The 21,107-nt window shown below is 34.4% G+C and overlaps 1 annotated feature.

The window, feature by feature from the left end:
* Positions 20,642–20,808: a silencer, noted in NCBI's record as "fragment chr5:44262669-44262835 (GRCh37/hg19 assembly coordinates)". NCBI's record gives its function as "represses an EF-1alpha promoter that drives an FKBP-Casp9 reporter gene in an ReSE screen in HepG2 liver carcinoma cells {active_cell/tissue: HepG2}" and the evidence as "EXISTENCE:reporter gene assay evidence [ECO:0000049][PMID:32094911]".

Below are 21,107 nucleotides of genomic sequence, written 5' to 3'. Positions count from 1 at the left end.
TAAAGATGAGCATTTCATATGCTTATGGGTCATTTGTGGCACAAGGTATGTTTTCATAACTATTTTCTGAATTAATAAATGAACTATCAAACAGTATTATATGAATTCTGTTGAATCATGAATAGTGTTATAACAAAATCCTACCAATCTTAGAGTGCAAAGAATTTTGAGAACCATGCTTATTTGGAAAATGTTGGTGTATATTACATTTTAAGGCTGTAATTGATTCAGTAAAAATAAAGTAGATTGGTATGTTTCTTATTAAACTGCTATCTTTCTTATCATTTGCTCTGGATATGTAAGAATGTTTGCTTCCAGTTACAGTAATGCTAAGATAGAATTAGCTTGCTCTTAAATTTTGTAAACTGTTCAATAGGCAATTTAAGAATTGATTTACTAACATTATTTAGCATATATGTAGTTAAAGAGCACATGAATATTCACAAATCATGACCACAGATTCATTGTGATCACCTGCTCAATACCCACTAGAGAAATGCCCCTAGTGTTTTGTTGAATCAAACATAAGTCCAGCCATACTGAATTTATTTCAGGTTTCTGAATGTGCCATGACCTTTGTTGCCTCCAGGTCTTTAAATGTGCAACTCTTTCTCTTATTAATTCCTCTACCCCAATATATCTTCCAGATTTTGAGCCTATGATTTCCTTAGATTCTACATATCAAAAAATTATTACTTCAATATTGACGCTAAACCACTGTAGTAGATCGTTGCAATTACTTTTTCCTTCCCTTTTTCAATCATATTTTATTTTATCACTTTTTCCTCATTTTTCTTTGAACAGATAAAAATCATGTAGAAAACTATTATTTTGCCTTTATATTTCTCAAATAATCTTCATATGTTTACTATTATCCACAGAGTCCAAAAGGCCAATGGATATTTTTCTTATTAAAGACCTATTTTAAAACCAAATTACTGTGTAGTTCTCAGAATCTTTGGTTATTCTTTACGTCATTAATATTTGGGAACAGTTATATATTTGCTGCTACAAATTTTATATTTTTAGGATGCCTAATTTCATGAATATATATTCACTGTTAAAATTAGTCATACTTGGGGTTTCCTACCATACTAAATACACATAATTTAAATTTAAAAAAAGAAATATGTTTAGTCTCATTATTTCAATGAGGATAGTAAATGTTAATTTACAGAAAATAAATAAAATAAGAAATAATTACAAAGTAATTAAATTACTCCAAAAAGAAAGAATTGTAATATTCTTTAACAGGCAGAGATTAGGTTTTGCTCAAGCAACAGCATTTATGATGAGTAATTTACACTCACACTAAAGATGAAGTAACACACTTTTTCTAACAATATGCATTGACATAAGTCAGATGAAAAATTATAAAAGGGATTGTTTTTTCCTCAATACCTATCTCTATATTTCTTTTTCTTTTCTTTTTTTTTTTTTTTTTTTTTTTTTTTGAGATGGAGTCTCTCTCTCTCTCCCAGGCTAGAGTGCAGTGGCTCGATCTTGGCCCACTGCAAGCTCCGCCTCCCAGGTTCACCCCATTCTCCTGCCTCAGCCTCCTGAGTAGCTGGAACTACAAGCGCCCGCCACCACGCCCAGCTAATTTTTTGTATTTTTTTAGTAGAGATGGGGTTTCACCATGTTAGCCAGGATGGTCTCGATCTGCTGACCTCATGATCCGCCAGCCTCGGACTCCCAAAGTGCTGGGATTATAGGCGTGAGCCACTGCGCCCGGCCTATATTTCTAAATATGAAATAAAATCAATAGATAATTCAAACATCTAGCTTTAATAGTAGTACTTAATAATTTAGGATAAAACACAAAACATTAAAAATTTTGAAAAAATAGCTTCTATTAAGGGTTCAATAGAATTATGCTGGCACCAAATTAAATATTTTTACTAATCCAAGTATGAGCATGTCATTCTTTACAAGCAAATGAAACTTCTCTTCTGAGATCAAAGAGGTTTTCTTGGGAAATTAGCCCTTCCCCTTCATAAAACCCAAGAGTGTGAGAGTGTTTCTTAGAACCTCTCTATTTGTTTTGGTTTCCCTTAACTTACCTTTGAAATCGTACTGTTTCCATGTTTTAGAAATGTTTATGCATAGTATCTATAAATTTTAATGTTCAATATAATGATGTTTTGAAGTTGCTCATATTTATATATTATTTTCAACTTTACTCTCTGAGCACATTTCTAGGCATAATAGAAAGATCAGTTCTTCACACTGGAGACAGAAATATGTCTTACTCTCATCCTTTTGCTCTCAACCTTCAAATTCTTCACCTACACCATATAGAAGGCTGGAAAACCTCTTAGTATGTTCATCATCTGCCTAATTTAGGACAAGATGTTTACCATCACTTCAAGAATGACTGCGCCCTCTAAGACACTAGCTATTCCATGTAAGAAGTTGCAACTAGGGCTTCAACTCTGTTTCACAAATACCAAGGTTCACCCTCACCCTAAGTTTCTTCCATAATAGGTAACTCAGGTATTTTCAAAACACATTGTATTAGTTCACCATAAAGAACAGTTAAAAGGAAACGGAGATGAGAAATATAACTTTGCCTTGCCCAGCGTTCTTAACGTGAGGTGCTGCTTTATTGCACTGATGATTTGTTTACCATCCTCATATTCGCTTTCACAATTTAAACCCATTTGATATCTTCCTTGGGTTTAATCTAGTGAAGTAAAACTTTTAGTCTAATTTTAGCATACTTTAATAGATTCCATTTAAAAATTTTTCTTGATGCTTTGTGTTTCACCTTAAATTATTAGGCACTACCAATTAAAGCTAGATGTGGAATTATTCACTGATTTTATTTTATGTTTGGAAACACAGAGATAGATATTGAGGAAGGAACAATCTTTTCCATAATTTTTCATCTTAATTATGTCAATACATTTTGTTAGTAAAAGTGTTCTGTCACTTCATTTGACCTTTTGTGTGTGTGTAAATTACTGCTTATAGATACTACTGCTTGAGCAAAACCTAATTTCTCCATGTTAAATGATAATATAATTTTTTTGAGTAATTTAATTACTTTGTAATTATTTCTTGGAGTTTTAAGATTTCATTTTGCTTACAAAAAATTAGCCAGGCGTGGTGGCGGGCTCCTGCAGTCCCAGCTACTCGGGAGGGTGAGGCAGGAGAATGGCGTGAACCTGGGAGGCAGAGCTTGCAGTGAGCCAAGATGGAGCCACTGCACTCCAGCCTGGGCGAGAGTTCGAGACTCTGTCTCAAAAACAAAAAACAAACAAAAAAAAGATTTTATTCTGCTATCATTTTTCTATTTCATTAACTCCCTTCCTGTTTGTTCCAAGAATACTCCCCAGCAGCACTTGCAGTTGCAGCTTCTACCCCAAGTTAAATTTGCCATGAAATATCTCACTTTTATTATGACTTTCGCATTGCTCTAGTATGCCAAATTTGGAAACAAAAGACATTATTCTATTTAACATTCTATTTTTAGTAGTGGTATTTCCATTTACAAAATATAGTAACTCTAGATTGCTGAAAATGTCAAATCCTAAAAAACACAGCATTCTTATGCATGTTAAACATCATCACTCTTGAACAGGTGTTGACTGAAGATTCATTTGAGGAATCTGATTTTTCCCAAACAGACAATTCTGATGTTAGTTCTGTTTAGAAATAACTCCAAGAACAGTTTTTATATTGTATTTTCGCATTGAATATCAGTCATATTTGCTTTAGCCTTAAAGAGCATGTTTATGTAAAATTAAATGAGTGCTTTCAGTGAGCTGCACTTTTTTTTTTTCCTAAACGAGAAAAGGGGAATTCTATGATTTTTTTTGTTTCAAGTTGTTGAATAGCTTTTATAGTTAAATAATTTTGTGTTTTTGTTTTTGTACTGGATAATACTCATACCACAGATGAGTACCCTGTAAAATGAATTTGAAAATCTCTCAGCTACGTCACATCATAACTATGCCCAGTGGATCCAAGGGGATAAAAAGAATTCAGCTGCATCTCAATAGCTTGTAGAATAATTAGGAACATGTAGGTTTTGGAATTTCACTGGATCAATTTCATTGACAACTCAGAATTTAAAAAAAATTTTTGTAACTTCTCTAACATTGTGATACATGGTAAAAAGTATGACAAATAATTAAGACAACCCACTATTTTGGAAAATATGTCAATTGAGTACCCACTGTGGACATGATACACAAAGTATTTTCTTTTGATTATTAACCACTTCTCTCTTCAAAGTTTCTTCAACCATTCCTATTTAGAAATATGCCTAAGTAACCCATCTCTATCTCCTAACCTCAATCTATCCAATTGACACCAAGGTAGAATGGCGAGACTGATAGCAGCAAATTGAGAACTTACTGTCTCTTTCCAGCTGCTCGGCTTTTTGTTTATTTTGCTTGTTTTTTAGACATTTATTCCTAAAAAGGGTTCATGCTGTGGAAGAAGGATATGACAATTTTCTGTTTTCATGGAACTATTTGTTTTGTTGGGAATTCAAAAAACAGAGACAAGATTTATACAGTTGAAATAAGGAACTAAGTGTGAATCAGGTTTCAGTCTAATGTTAGTAACCCAGCAAGGATGTAAGCTCCATAGCAGCAGGATCCTTGACAGACTGTCTTATTCAGCTCCATCTTCAGGGCTTAGGACAGTGGGTGGAACACAGTAGCAACAATAGCAACAAACTCTGTTGCTACTGAACAGTCGCTGACCATATCCTGGACTGTGAATGTGGCAGCAAGCCAAAGAGGGAGAGTTAATTTGATCCAGTGAGCTTGGAAAGACTTCTTGGAGCAATTGGGATTCGAATAGTCAAGTACATTATTGATACTTACAGAATTGCTGAGAAGCAATGAACATTTTTAGTGCTTGATAAACAACTCTCCTGAACCGTACTTCATTGGCTTTCAAATCCTTCAACACATTTTAAAACCATTTCTGACTCTTTTTCTGCCAACATTACTACCATTGTAATACTACCAATAATGCTTAGAATACTTCTAATATTTTATTTTTGAGATATTTCCCTTCATGGTCTTTCTATACAACAATTCTGCTACTTCCATTTGATATTTTTAAGCTCTATAATCACCAGATATGTGATATTGAAGTTATAAATGTAAATGAGAAATGGTTCATTCCTCAATGACCTCATAATGCAGCATGCTTAAAATATAATTGCCATACTGAACAATAAATGCTTTATGTAGTAAGAAGGGGAAGCCAGATATTATTAGAGACCTACTGTGTTTCAAGCTTAGAAGCAAGCAATATGCTACTGCTTTTCATAATCTTGCAAGCTACATAATCGCCAACTTTACGTCTGAGAATTCTGTATTGACATAGGCAGAACTGCTTCCTAAAGCAAGAACTTGTATTTCTGGAATCCACTCTTCATTGTGCTGACTATATATTACCACAAATTGTACTTCTCACCCAAATTCTATTATATGATTACACCATATTGCAATGCCTCTTCTTCGGTCTCTTTGCCATTTCTCCTCTTCTTATAGTCTGGCTTACCTCCTGAAATGAAGTAAAAAGAAATGCATAATTACCTGAACTTAGATACTCTTTGGTAAGAAGTTTTTAATGTCCTAAAATTTCTTCTCATGGTCAATGAATCCTTACTATTTGATATGTGACCTCATATTCTGTACTTAACAAATGCAGAATGTGTATTGTGTTCTTAGAGAGCTAGGGCAGAACTCAAGCTGATTCAAATAGTCTTTTACTGGAGGTACAATTACCTCAACAGAAATATGTTTCCATAGATATTACGATACTTCTTGGAGTTTAAATATATCCTGTCTGGCCACACAAGAGCCTTTGGTTTGAAGAACTATTACCAAAGTGATGTTTTTCCTTCTTATCTACTAGGATGGTGCAAATACTTAAATTCATCTAAAAATCCTATTAAGAATTTTCATATATTCTTATTGGCTTTATCTAAATTGAGATCACCAGATTGCAGACTTCTAATAATGCACTCTGCTAACTAGAATGTCAGACTTAAATTGTGAGTTCAAAACAACCTTGTACAAACTAATAGATGCCATTTATGTGTACTAAGTCTTGCCTCTACTTTTAATAAAATTCTTTTTCCGATGGCATCATTCATACAAAAGAAATATGTTTGTTTTAAGTTTTATTTCTTCTCTTCTCCACATTTGTGGCAACTATTCACTCCTGGTTATTAATATATTACAGAGAGTATACTCCTCTGAAGAATGATGTGGGTACTGTGGCTGGAAAAACTGGGATTTTTGCTTAAAAAGAGTTAGCCACCAAAGCAAACAAGCTGGTTTTGAACTACAAAAACTGCCTAAAAAAATTTTCCATGCTTTTTTACCTTGTTTTTCCTTTGGGTATACAGAATTCAAGGACACGAATACCAAGCATTTCTGACATAAGCTTCTTAGACTTCACTTGCTGAATCCTTTCTTTTTCCGTCTCTGAACTGATGCTACCCATCCACAGGATAAAGCAACAATCCAATACAAGCCTTCAGGGGCAACCTCTTTTTCTTCCAACTCAAGTATATTGTTGAGTTATTCTGACAGAGCAACAAGAGTCTAGATAGACCTCTACCTTTCTCACAACATATTTTTAATGTCTAATACATTTACTCTGGCATTCTTCTCTGAAACAAACAAGTAATAAATAAAATTGGCCATGATATTCAAGCCATAAAATAGTGATAGTCTTAGGCCCCATGACAACTATCTTTTTTATCATTTCTGTTCTAGAGAGCAGAATGGAAAAGTAACATTACTGTATATAATTGTTAAACAGAACTAATTGTTATACAGATTGTTATACAGAACTAATCTGAGTATTTTACTACCTATAGATTTAAAGATCTTGCTTATTCTGGATTGATTAGTTCTTAGGGAGTAATTCCGTATAATCTTTTTCACTTTGTTTCCTACACAATTACTCATGTAACTTGGTTCACTGCCTGACACATACTAAGTTCTCAAATATTTGAGGAACAAATGAGCAAATAAACAAAGTAATGTATATAGAAAAATCCATAAGGGAAAAAAACCAAAATTATGTCATTATGGAATATATAACAGTCTCTAAGTAACTATGTACCCAGAAATTGGGTAGCTTCTAGTGTGGCTTCCTTTTTACTGTAATAGTGAGTGCAGAAATACCAGATGTTTTTACTTAGGACATCGTGGAGGCTTGAAAATAATTACTTCCTCTTTTGAAGGCCTTGAGAAAAGATTTCAATGCTTTATAGCTTTAGTGAAGACACATATAAGGTACATCTATCATCAAGGCAACTTGGAAGAAGCACTTTGGTAGTCTATGAATGTGGAAATGGCATAGTGTATAATGTAACTTGTAAAACATAGACTGAAAGAAGTCTATATTACAGATAGAAATCCACCATGTTTCAAGTCAGTGATTTGAAGAAAAAACATTTCCATTAAAAGTAAACAATAGGTGAACCACAGCCAGATCACATCTGTGCTTCACTTTCAAGTTATTATTTAATAATTCGTTTACCGTGTAAGCAATTCAGAAAGACAATTATTGTTTTATGAAATCTATAGTGATATGTTGGATTCCAAAGAGATCTGGAGGTCTTTTTAACTGTCATCTTTGACCACCCTATTCAGGACATCTTTCTTTTTCTCTCTTCTTTTTGTAACTTATTAAGCATATGCTCTTGAGTGATGAGATGCCATGATGCAGATCAGATGCATTTTCTGTTTTATTTATCAGATTATTTTAACTTGATCACAGTTATTTCAGACCAATTTTTGGAAATAAAGGCTCTTGTCAATCTGTATTAAATATAACAACTGCTGAGTTGTGATTGCATCATCAAATACTTAGAATGAGACTAGGAGAACGTTGACCCATGAGAAGTCTAACCCAATAAACAAATTATTTTATTTGAAGTGATCTGAAAATCCAAGTCAAGTCCTGACTAAGTGTTTTAATCACAAACTGCACAGGAAAAACTTGTTAATTGAATTAATGAGTAGCTAGCCATGAGTTATACTCCTTTTCAGGTTTTCAGTTCAATTTTAAATTATTCTTAAGTAGTATATACCAATATGATTAATTTTTATATTTTGACCTTGTATTCTGTGATCTTGCTAAACTCACTTTTTAATTCTTATCTTTTTTGTAGATACCTCAGAGACAATGAGAAATGTCATCATTGAACAGAGTTTTATTCCTTTCTCTCCAATATTTATAGCATTTATTTATATAACTATTAATTTACTTGCCTTATTGCATTGGTTAGGATCCCCAGTATGATGTTAAATAGGAGTGGTTGTGAGAAAGTGCATTTTTCTCTTTCCAAATCTTAAATGGAAAGAATTGAGTCTTTCACATAACTTAAGTATTATGTTAGTGTCTTTTTTTGCAGATCCTTTTATTGGGTTGAGAAAATTCTCTTTTATTGCTAGTTTGTCAGCTGTTTTAATCATGAGTGGTTTTTGAATTTTGTCAAATGCTTCTTCCGTATAAATACAATCATTTGGCTTTTCTTGTTTATTGGCTTTCTGAATGACCAAATTGATTTTGAATGTGGAACCAGCCTTTCCTTCTTGGAGTAAATCCACTCAATTTTGGCATCATAATATATTTAAATGTTGCTGAATTTAATTTGATGACATTTTGTTGAGGACTTCCACACTTGTATTCATGACAAATATCAGCTTATTGTTTTCCTTTCTTGTAATGTCTTTGGTTTCATCAAAAGAATAATTCTGACTTCATAAAATGAATCAAGCAGTGTTTCCCTCTCTTCTACATTCTGAAGAATGTGTGTTTTCCAACTACTTTAGCAAAAATTAAGAAGTTTGATAGTGCTAATATTAGAGGGTAATATCTATCAACAGGAACCCATATACATTATTTTTGGGAAAGTGAATTTTTGTAACCATTTTAAAAATAATTAGGCACTATCTTATAAAGTTAAACATGTTTATGCCTTAAAACACAGCAATTAAACTCCCAGAGAAATTTTAACATATGTGCACCAGAAGAAATGTACAACAGAAAACATGTATAAAAGTATTCAGAGCAGCAACATTATTTATAACTGCAAAACAATGGAAACTGAAATGTTCTTCAGCATCAACAGGAAATGCAAAAACATGGATAAGTTACAGATACATATAACACATACTGGTAAAATAAACAAGACCCAGAAAGCTATATATAACATGACAGCATTTTTATAAAGCTCGATTGTTTAAGAATTAATACATAGTAGAAAAACTATTTTTAATAGCAAGCTAATGATAAACAACATTAAGGATAGTGGATGTAGGGAGAGCAAGGTATTAGGATGAAAGAGGAGCACATGAGGCTTCAGAGACTTGGGTTTCATACCTAAGCATTTTATTATTATACAATGTAACTTACCTGTTTGGCAGGTATATCCATTGACCCAGATGTATTATACAATTTAGCAGGTTTTTTTAATTAAATAAGGTTATATATGTATATATATGGTTTATATATGTGTGTTTATATTATGTATCTGTGTGTGTCCTTTTAATATGCTTAGTTGTTGTCATAATACATAATTTAATTCTATGCAGAAGGAATAAGCAAATGCCCAAATTTCCCAGTTTCCTCCAACCCTTTACACTGGATGGAGTCTTTGATTGCTGGGATAAAGAAGTTCCATCTGTATTAAGAGATCAATGAACACAGTAGTGTTTACTCTAGACCTGCACCACTCCTGCTAAGAGATCCAAATCGCTTGGCCTATCTCTAGGTTAGTAGCCTGTTCATGGCTTGTTTTAGTTAAAAAGTAACAGTCAAAGTGAAAGTTTTATAACAGAGCATGAATTCAGTCTTTTCATCTCCCCAACTCATCTCCCAAAAGAAGCAGCAAAACAAACAAACAGACAAAACAAACAAACAAACAAACAAAAAACAGTTTCAAACTCTTAAGGTACATAAGTCCAATGCCTTTCATAATCCTAGAATCTATCTGCTATATCCTCACTTGGAGAAAATAAAATCAAAGAAAAATGGATAGAAGGTAAGGGGAAGAAATAACGCTTGATTAATATCTAACATTATTTTATTTTTGACCCCAGGAAGCTCAAGGCACATTTTTAGTTTTCAGACAAACTTGTGCAACAACTGAATTTCATTAAAATGACAATAATATATTCCCTTTTGTGAAATAATTTTTTTAATTGTCCAATTTTTCTGAAAATAAGTAACCTATTGATATCTCTGTGGTCAAATTATCCTAGTAATGAATATGCTGCAAATCATATATCAAGTGGTATGAGACAGCCTTTCCCGTGAGATGTTTGTGCCATGTCTTGCCAAAACAAGTAGAAGCCTCCCTGAACATGTGGCAATTCACACTCAAAACAAAATTTCTATCCCTATCAACTATATGGTAATGGAAATCTTAATACACATATGGTGATTTCAACAAGCTTAGGGAAAACCTTATCAGATACTTGTGGAATATATCTTTACGATAAACTTATTCAACTCATAACCCACTCATCCAGTGTTACACCAGAGACAGAACACAGAGCAATAAGTAAAAGGTAACACAACCTATGTACTTATATCATTCAAACACCATTAAAGAAATAAACTCTACAACACTTATTTGAAAACTCCCTTTCTAGCTTGTAAGTTTTCCTCATTTAGTTCATATATTGCTATTATGTTGCTATCTCTCAAAATACACACATACAAGAGAAAAAATAAAATGTTTTTCTAAGTCAGGGTTAATCTTTTTCTCTACCCAATCTTTTATTGATTTTTGTGTTAGGTAAGATACTCCAAAAAACTAAGAGGGAGAGAAACAGCTCACAAAGCCAAAATTCTTTTTAGTGGTCAGTGGAAGAGGAAGAGCTGTGGACAAATTTAAGTTAAAATTTTCTGACCAAAGTTACTTATGAGAATAATTGCATACATTCTTGCAATATAAGCCACCTTTCCCTAAACCAGTGGTTCTCAAACTCTGCTGTCAATTTGAAATGCCTAAGAAATTTTTATTTCTCCTTCACTACTGAAAGATCATTTCATGGGATATAGAATTCTAGGTTAATGAGTTTTTCTTTCAACACTTTATATATTTGATTCTACGGTCTTCTTGCTGGCATGCTTTCTATAGAGAAGTTTGCATAATTTTTATCCTGTTACTTATAGGTAAGGTGTTTTATTCCCTCTGGCTTCTTTCAAGACATTCTCTTTGTCTTTGGTTTTCTGCAGTTTGAATAGAATATACTTACATGTAGATTTTTTGGTATTTATCCTTCTTGGTGTTCTGTGAGCTTCCTTGATCTGTTGTTTGGTGTCTGTCATCAATTTTGGCTTGAACCTGCATGTCAGGATGAATCTGCCTTTTTACTTATTGCTATCTTTCACCACTTCCCAGAATCTAACTCACATGGGATGAAGAAGTCCTAGATCAGTCACCATTTTCACATCAAGCCCTGCTATTATGTCAGAGGACTTCAAAATCCATAAAAACAACTTAAGCTCTATTCATATAGATCTTTGACGTCCTCAAGTCCTAGAAACTTTACTTCTCAGACAACCTCATGGTTGACCTCTTTATCTTAACTGACTTTAATAACACTTTCTGCTAATGCTCAGCTAGTCCTTGATGATAAACTCTCCCATCACTGTCATAATACTCTCTGGTATCTTTTCTTTCTCTCTGGCTATTGCTTGTTATTCTACTTCATGGACTTGTCTTTTTCTTTTCTCTGTAATTGTTTATGTCTTCCAGTATTCATCTTATTCCATTTCTGTTTGTGTTCTAAACACTTCCCATGGAAATTTTCATTTACATTTTTGAATAAATGTAAATTCACCCATCAGTGAAACCAAATAACTGGTCTTCTTCTTTGTTTAAAAGTAGAAGTTTTTACTACTTTTGTTATATATATAATACACTTACACACACAATATACATATACATGTATATATATACAGTATATGTGCCATAATTTGAATGTATGTAGTTGATTCTTAATTTTTTCTTTTTGATTAAAAAATACAATAATTAAAAGGTTTTTTTTGTAAAAGTTTCAAATCTGCATCAGATTCGAAAGGGGACTAACATCAAGAAAATATCAAGCATCACTGGTCTAGGCAAGTAATATATCACCTCTTACTGACTGAATAAATTTTAATCATCAGTTTACTGTTCCAATGGGGAAAAATTAGGAGGTACCATTTATAGTCAAAGGTGAATTACAAATTGTCAATTACCCGCTGTTGTATCTGTGTAAAGATCTAGCCTTCTAAATTATACAGTAATTTCTCCTATCCGACTCTACACCCTATGGAAAGACTAAAGTGTCTCACTTAGGTGTTTCACTTCCTTATAACTCCCCCAGAATAATAGGCTCAAATTGGGCTAATAACAGGTTCTGGTGCCTTAGCCCAGCCATCTGCATTTACAAACTGCCCAGATATTTCTGTTACAAATCATAGTATCTCAGTCTGGGCCAGTGTTAAAGATCTAGTATGTACTGATACGCACTTGTTAACTGAGAAAGTGATTCCTATCCAAAACAGCAGGAAATTTGTCTAAATATTTAATATATAAGAGTGACAGTTTTCCAATTTGTAAGAAAGTTGGAGGTTTTTTCTTCTTTTTATTCTTGTATTTTTTTGTTTTTGTTTCACTTCCTGTTTAGGAATTTGTTTTTAAATTTTTTTAATTTTTAGTTTCTGTAGGTACATAGTAGGTATATATATTTATGGGGTACATGAAATATTTTGATACAGGCAAGCAATACGAAATTATCACATCATGGAGAATGGCGTATCCATCCCCTCAAGCATTTATCCTTTGTGTTATAAACAATCTAATTACATTCTTTTAGTTATTTTTAAATGTCCAATTAAGTTATTGTTGACTACAGTTGTTTGAATCTCAATCCAAATGTAGCCATAGAATCATTATCCTTCAACTGTCCTTGACATGATTATTATAAAGAGGCTTAGAGTTATTATATGAATATATAATCCATAAACCCTCCAAAAACTCTCATTACTTTTTAACACATTTCCATTTTATGAAAGAAAAATTATTTATTAATAATTATTCAGCATAAATAATTAATTTATCTGTAACCAATGCCTTCTAATACTTCTTTCCATTTTTTCTTAACAAGCACTAACATCTTAATCTTTAAACAAGATTCAAATTATGATTCAATTTACAGAAAATAATTTCAAATATAGGAGAACATAAAGTGTAGATTCCGGCACCAATCATGAGCCAGGCTTATCTAGAGGACATACGGTTGGAGAGCGGAAATGAGACATAACCTTAATTTTAGCCCTTAAGCACAGTAAGTTGTTTAGTGGGCCATTATTTTCACAGTTCATCAGCACAAGTAGCTTTGCCTTATTTGCTTTATAGGGAACATTTTATCCACCCCATAAAAATCTTTTTCCCTCCCCTCTTCTTTAAGCAGGGGTTGATAATTAGACATTGAATTTTAATTGAGTGTAAGAATATCCTTGTTGACTGAGATTGGAAGCTTTCATTTGCAAGGTCTTGTTTTAGCTTCAGGATAACTTTTCTTACACTCTTCAGAATAATATATTGCTACTACTTTGACTTTATTCACCAAACAACTCCATTAATTACCACTAACCAGACTTCACTTCCTTGCAAGGTTTTGTGCACCTGGTTTGCAGACGGGATGTAGTAACAGAAGCCCACAGAGCACATCCAGACTGCTGTACAGGTTAGAATATTGGCTACCCTCAACTAATTTTATGTGTCTGTGGAAAACAGGGCTTTGGATTTCTACCAGCTGAAGTTACTGTTCATTGTTTCTCTATTCAGCAACAATTTTTTGTGCACAAAATCATAACAAGAAAAGTGAATTGTCAAGATGTTGACCAAGTCATCACTTAATGGAAGTCCTATTCAAATAATGATGGATTCATATGTTGAACCTATGTAGATTAATATATTGAATAGAGAGCTGGGGATTAACACTTTTTAATAATTTGGAGCCCTATCATTGACTTTATCTGTTGATAGCATGTTATCTTTCTAGTAACAATTTCACAACAAAAGCTGAGGGCTCCTCTGAAAAAAACAAACAAAAGATGCCTTAATATTCTGCATTCTTATTGGCAAATCTATGTCTGTATTAGTTAAAGGGTTTAAGGTTCTACTTAAAACAAGTCTTAAAATTTCTTCTCTGCATATGACATGAGCTGTCTGTCAGTAATATGCCCAATAAATATTTGAGGAAAGAATGATACCTCGTTTTTATTGTGAAATCAGACTTTTTATCCCCATTTCTTTCACATTCATATGTTTTTCTATATTCAGGAGGGGTTCCTGACAAAGAATTAACCACCAGAACCATCTTTGGGTCTTACTTTTTTGGGATCTCTCCATTAAATCCTCCAAGTAAATGTTGATGGTGCTCTAGTGAACTATCCCAAGGCAGGGCTTGTAGGATATGAGGAGCAAACTCTTTGCAACAGTGTGGATGTGGACAGAGAACATTCCCCTACTTTGGCTCAGGGAGACCCTTTTGTAAAGATGCAGATGAAACAAAGGACTTGGCATATTTCCTCAAAGATCTCTTGCACAGATGAGTTAAAATGGAAAACTATAGACCCCTTTCAGGTACATTGAAGAAAGCCTTACAGTAACCTAAGCATTCCAAATAAAGTGCAAAAAGATACAGGAACTCTTGGGCTAGGCATGCTGCCTCTGAACACCCCATGGGCCTCAATTTAGAGAGAGCTGGGATCAGGAAAAGCATGCCAAGACCTCCTCCAGGGTTTCTGTGTGGCACCCCAGGGGACCGTCAGCATCTTCCCATAATAATAGTACACTCTTTGGCCCAAATTTGTTTTACTTTTTATAACGTCATAAAGAAAAATGGAATGAGAATATCTGGAGTGATTGATTTTGTGAATGGGGAGATGGAAATAATAGAAATATGTAAAGCCAAGAAAAACTAAAAATTTATAAATTTTCTATAGCTTGACTCAAAGAAAGATTTAAGAGTCTATTTTAATTTGTTCTGCCTAAAGTAAGAACAGATATAGAGGTATAATTGTTGCTTGGCTATAGGACAAAATGAAATCTATAGCATTTCCTCTAATATTGATTTCATCATTAAATAATTGAAATGTTTCTTTCAGAGAACAGATTTGATAGGCATGTCAAATGATTTTTGTTAACTTTATCTTTTCATCTTGGTCTTTGTGGCAATTATTTCCAGACCATATTGTGGTTTCCTGCACAAAATTATACCCTTAAGCATAGCAGCTTTACATTTACTACAGGCACAGGACAATAAAAAGTCAATAGCAGGAGAAAATATGTTTTATATGTTCAGTTAACTTTACACAGAACTGGAAAGTATTGGTAAATAGCACTTAGTTATGTTATCCTACTTTCTTTAATATATCTCAAAAATTGACAATCTGAATAGAGATTGCTAATTTCTGCAGTTATTTAGAGATAGAATAATTATTTCTATAATTATTTAAAGTCTTCTAATAATCTATTTATGATTTTATAATTCCTTCTTTATTTGATTTTATACTATTTTTTACTTTTAACTTAAATTGTATTTAACCATAAAATTAATGGATAGTAATTTTAAGACATACAAAAATATAAATCAACTAGACATGGGTAATCCTAATTTCTTTAGCAGTTTAATATGGGGCTTGTATTTGTCTACTATCATTCAGTTCAGAGATCTTCATATTGATGATACTGAGTCTATGCATTAGTTACCTACTGCTATATGATAAATTATTCCAAAGCCTGGCTGCTTAAAACAACAATTATTGTGTTATAATTTCTGTGGGTCAGAAATTCAGGAATGGTTTTGCTGAAAAGTTCTGACTCAGGTTCTTTCATGGGATGACATTTAAGATGTCAGCCAGGGCTGCAGTCATCAGAGGGTTTGGCTGGAGTTGGGGGATTTGCTTCCAGAATAGCTTATTCTCACATCTATTCTCAAGAAGCCTGAGTTCCTCACTGGCAGGAAGCCACACAGGCTTTTCCACAGGGCTTCCTGGTTTTCCTCACGAAATGTCAGCTGGCTTTCCCAAAATCCAGTAAGCCAAAAAAGCAAAAGGAAGCCACAATGTCTTGTATCACCTAGTTTCAGAAGTTACATTCCATTACTTCCACAATATCCTATAGCTTACACAAGTGATCCCTATGCAACATGAGAGGAAACTCTACCATGGTGTGACTATCAGATAACAGAGATCCTTGAAATGAGCTAAAACAATCTAGTCTGGCAGGGGGAGGAAAAAACACAGTGACAAAAAGATAATCGCAAACAACAGACTTCAAGGTAATTGACAGTAAGAATTTCAGAGCATGAATAGTTGACACATGTCTTAGTACTGAAATATTTCTGGGAATACTGCACAGAGTTTCTGTCAAAAACTACTCATACTTTAAAATGAAACCCAAATGCAAGTGACCAAATTGATGTGAGATCCTAGGACATCCACCTTCCTTTGATTCATTTATTTTAATATTTCTCTTAAATCTTTCAATAATATTAGTTTAATGCAAAAGTAATTGTGATTTTTGACATTGAAAGTAATGGATACCTCATGATTACTGATTGGATTTCGTACTCTCTCTAAACACTAAGAAAAACAGAATAATGTGTAGGAGCGATCTCATGAAATTTGCAAACAAATTAAATTCAAATGATACAAATAATAAGTTGTTATCATTTGAATTCTAATCTGATTGCTAGTTGCTGTTAGCCTGTGGCTATGTAGCTAAATAGTAAGACGTGTGATACATTGTCTGAATTTACTCATATAAAAATAAAACCTCTGGTCAGGAGATCGAGACCATCATGGCTAAGAAGGTGAAACCCCGTCTCTATTAAAAATACAACAAATTAGCCAGGCGTTGTGGCGGGCGCCTGTAGTCCCAGTTACTTGGGAGGCTGAGGCAGGAGAATGGCATGAACGTGGGAGGCAGAGCTTGCAGTGAGCCGAGATTGCGCCACTGCACTTCAGCCTGGGCGACAGAGCAAGACTCCATCTCAACAACAACAACAACAAAAAAACCTCTGCTGGAAATGCCATATGTGTACCATACATGTAATAGACACCACAAAGAGGTATAAAGAGAAGACATTTGTACAATTTCTCAAAATCGTGTTGGATGACTGACTGACTAATTTGTGCTACCTCTTTTTTGACAAGAAAGTATCAGAGGAAATGTGGAGCCTGGGTTGGTTTTGTTTCCTCAGGGCTGACTTTCTAGTTGCACTCTAAGATATTATACCTCCAGAATGACAATGTCTCTTGACAGAATTAAATAGTGCCCCCCACCATCCAGGAAATGAGAGTAAGAAACATGTGAACAGTGAAGTCAAATACTTTATTATCCTAAGGTCTGCCCTTAGCAACAGATGGCTGAGGAATACACAGCTTTAAATTAGAGACAGACATCAGATTGAAGGGAAATACAATGAATCTGAGCACAAAAGATGGTAACTGAGCCCAGTAGAATTCAAAGAAAAGACTTTAGCATGGAAAAGCTAGGGTCATGTGGAGCAATGAATGTATTATTCATTTTTTTTTTTGCATTTCTCCCACAATATCAGGTGGAAGAAATGCAAAAAAAAAAAAAAAAAAAAAAAAAAAAAAAAAAAAAGGGGGGGGGGGCGGTATGTGGGAGAAGAGGCAAAAGTTTTTTTTTTAAACTTTATTAGAATTTGCCTCCAGCACAACAGAATACTGAGAGATATTACAGAACGCCAAATGCATGCAGAAAAATACTTTCAAAATAGCAGAGGCAGAACAGAACCTTGGGGTTATAGCTGGCTTAGCCATCTAAAGTGAAGAGTGGAATTAGAGGTGAATCCAAGCTTGTACTGAGGAAGCTCTAGGCCACCAGTTAGGATGGGGGTCTGGTAGAAGGAGGTTGGTAGGAAAGGAAGGGCCTGGGGGTAAAGGGTGGCTCAAAAAGCCAGGAACCCCCAAATAGCATCAGGTGGTCGAAATGGAGCAAAGAAGATGGGAGAACAGGGCCCAGGCAAGCTCTAATGATTACGTTCTTCCAGTTTTTATTTCCCAAGAAATGAATGACAGAGTTCCAGTACCAAATTCACCTTACTGTCACAAAGAAACTCATGACAAGATCATCCATTAATCAAGAAAACATGTGTCAAACTTTAATTCACCACAAAGAGAGAAACTATGGGATTCATAATGACAAAGTGGCTTTACTAAAATCCTTCATTCCCAAAGTTCCAAATACAGAGTTACATTAATGTATATAGCATATTCCAGATAGTAATTGAGCTATCCTTTTGCTTGTATTCTTACTTCCTTATGACTTGAAAGTAATGAGAAAACAGTAATGTAATGCTACCTTGGGCGCTTGTAGTGGGAGGCTAAATAAGTGTGTGTGTGTTGGGGGTGGGGGGGTGGCAAACTATGTAGCAATCAAGGATGTGGCTCAAAATATAGAGGTGGAATAAATTGAAGAGCAAAGTAGCTCTACATTTGTGGTTCTATTGCCCACATTAGAGTAACAGTTTACATAAACAGTGCAGTTTAAATCTTTTTAAGTACTTCCACATATTTTCCATATTCCATTTTATATCCTTAGAACAGTCTTGGAGTCAGTTGGAAAGGTATAATTATGTCTGTTAGTTTAGTTGTAGAAATAGACTCACAAAGGATATACGACTTGTAGAAGTGACAGAGCAATGGCATACAAATGCCCAGAATCCCAGTTTCGTGTTTGTCTCTCCTAGTTCAGTGCTCCTAGAACTTTCACACTAATCCCTGGGAATCTCGTTGAACTGCAGATTCTAGGGCAGTAGGTCTAGGGAAGTTCCTGAAATTCTGCCTTTCTAACAAGCCCCCAAGCAATACCAATGCTGCTGGTCTAAAGTTCTAAGCCAGACAACATCTAATTCAATAATCTCCTGATTTCAATGACTGTCTATCAATTGTGTTTTACACATAGATTCAAAAGTCCTAACCCCTAGGATTCAGTTAAGTCTGGTATAGGTCCCTGGCATGTGTGTATTTTTTTAATTTCCAGAAGTGATTTGATTCATATTCAGGACTGAGAACTTTTGCACATTAAGAAGTTACAGCACCTGTAATGTACATATTTATAAACTTAAAGTGAGAGGTTTTTTTGTTGAAATTATACTGACTCTAGTTCCATCCTAACTCACAATAAGGCAACTGTTTAAAGAATATTGAAACTGATTTCTTTCAGATTTCTGTCCCTCATCTTTTGACTTTTATTTCTCTAGTTCCTAGAGTAAAAAGTATCGTAGCACTCCATAATGTCACAGGATATCAGTTTCACCCATTTTTGTTTAAGATAACATCACTTACAAATTTCAATCCCTATTTTCTTTGATCTTTTAAAATGTCTATGCTTCTTGGTAAATTTATTGTCAGGTGTAGTTTTCATAAAAAGGCACATTTTAGAGGTCTGTACAGCAATGAGGAGGAAGTGTTCAAGATATAAAAATCATTTCAAGAATTAGATTTTGGAAGGAGAAAAAACCTAACCCCTGAATGACAATTAAAGAAATGGAAACCTTATTGCCACGGTTAAGCTTCTCAGTGAGCACATGACAAAGACTGAGGTAACAACAAGCACTGACAGGTGTTAGGGATGATGTGCCATACTGGTTTTGCAGTGGTTTTTGAAGTTTGATAATCCAGCAAGATATCTATCAGATTTTGCACTCCCTGATGTGAAGGACAGGTTAAAAGCAGTATGAGGATATCCACAGTTTTTTCTTTGTAAAGATGACCTTGGCTTTCAAATTGCTAAACTAGGTGTCATTTTATTTCCACTGTAGCCAATGTTTACTTCTCAGATAAAAAAGCAAAAAAAGGTGGTGCCCACAAGGTGGCCAGAATTCTGCAAGACCAATCCAATAAATTGTTAGTTCTTCCCTCCTGTACAGCCTTCCCATCCAGCAATTTCAATTTCTTTAGGACTTTAATCCTAGCGGGGTAATGTCCCCAGAGAAGACATGCTTTCTCAGTTTACAATGCTCTTAATCTCACAGAAATTTTTTCACAGCACACTGAACCAAACAATTTATTAAGTAGTTAAATAAGTACTTAAATCCTCACTGCGTGCTGAACACAGTACAACTTCTTAGACTTTGGAATCTGATGGGACACTGCTATCTTCGTTTCCTATTCCTAAATGATTTTCAATGATTTTCATGTGCTCCCCACTTTTTATCATTACAAAACCCAGCTTCATAAAGATATAATGCAACCAAATAGAACATTAAAAAACCTAAGGTTGAAAGCATTAGTAGTTCATGTACATCCAAAATATGTTACTTTAGTTCCTTTGAAAATTTACAATATTTAGTGATGTCCCCCGACATCCACTGAGGCACCCCACAATGCCTCAGTCCCAGGAGAACCATTGCTTTAGCACCTAAATTAGAAGCCTAAGACCCAGACTTCTGGTCCTGGCAGCTGAACCTTCTAGCCATGTCTTGTGCAGGAAGTCTCTTAATTATTCTAAGCTTCAATTTCCTCATTTTAAAAATAGAAATGATAGTTTTCAGCTTTCTAAGAGGGAACATACTTATGTTAGTCCATTTTCACACTGCTATAAAGAAATAACCAAGACTGGACAATTTATAAAGGAAAGAGGTTTAATTGACTCACAGTTCTGCATGGCTGCAGAGGCCTCGGGAAACTTACAATCGTGGCAGAAGGCGAAGCACGCACCTCCTGCATAAGGCGGCAGGAGAGAGAAGAGTGAGGAGCGAAAGAGGAAGAGCTTCTTATAAAACCATCATATTTCTTGAGAAGTAACTCACTATCACAAGAGCAGCATGGGGGAAGCGGCCATATCATATCAATACTACCATATCAATACTACTGCGTAAGTACAAAATACTATACTAACGAAAGCTGTAGAATGTCCTCTTAAAACTGAGTTGGGGCTGGACGCTGTGGCTCACGACTGTAATCCTAGCACTTTGAGAGGACGAGGTGGGCGGATTGCCTGAGCTCAGGAGTTGGAGACCAGCTTGGGCAACAGAGTGAAACCCTGTCTCTACTAAAATACAAAAAAAAAAAAA

The sequence above is a fragment of the Homo sapiens genome, chromosome 5 (genome assembly GCF_000001405.40).
Source record: "Homo sapiens chromosome 5, GRCh38.p14 Primary Assembly".
Classification (NCBI taxonomy): domain Eukaryota; kingdom Metazoa; phylum Chordata; class Mammalia; order Primates; family Hominidae; genus Homo; species Homo sapiens.
This window is presented reverse-complemented; position numbering and strand designations above follow the sequence as displayed.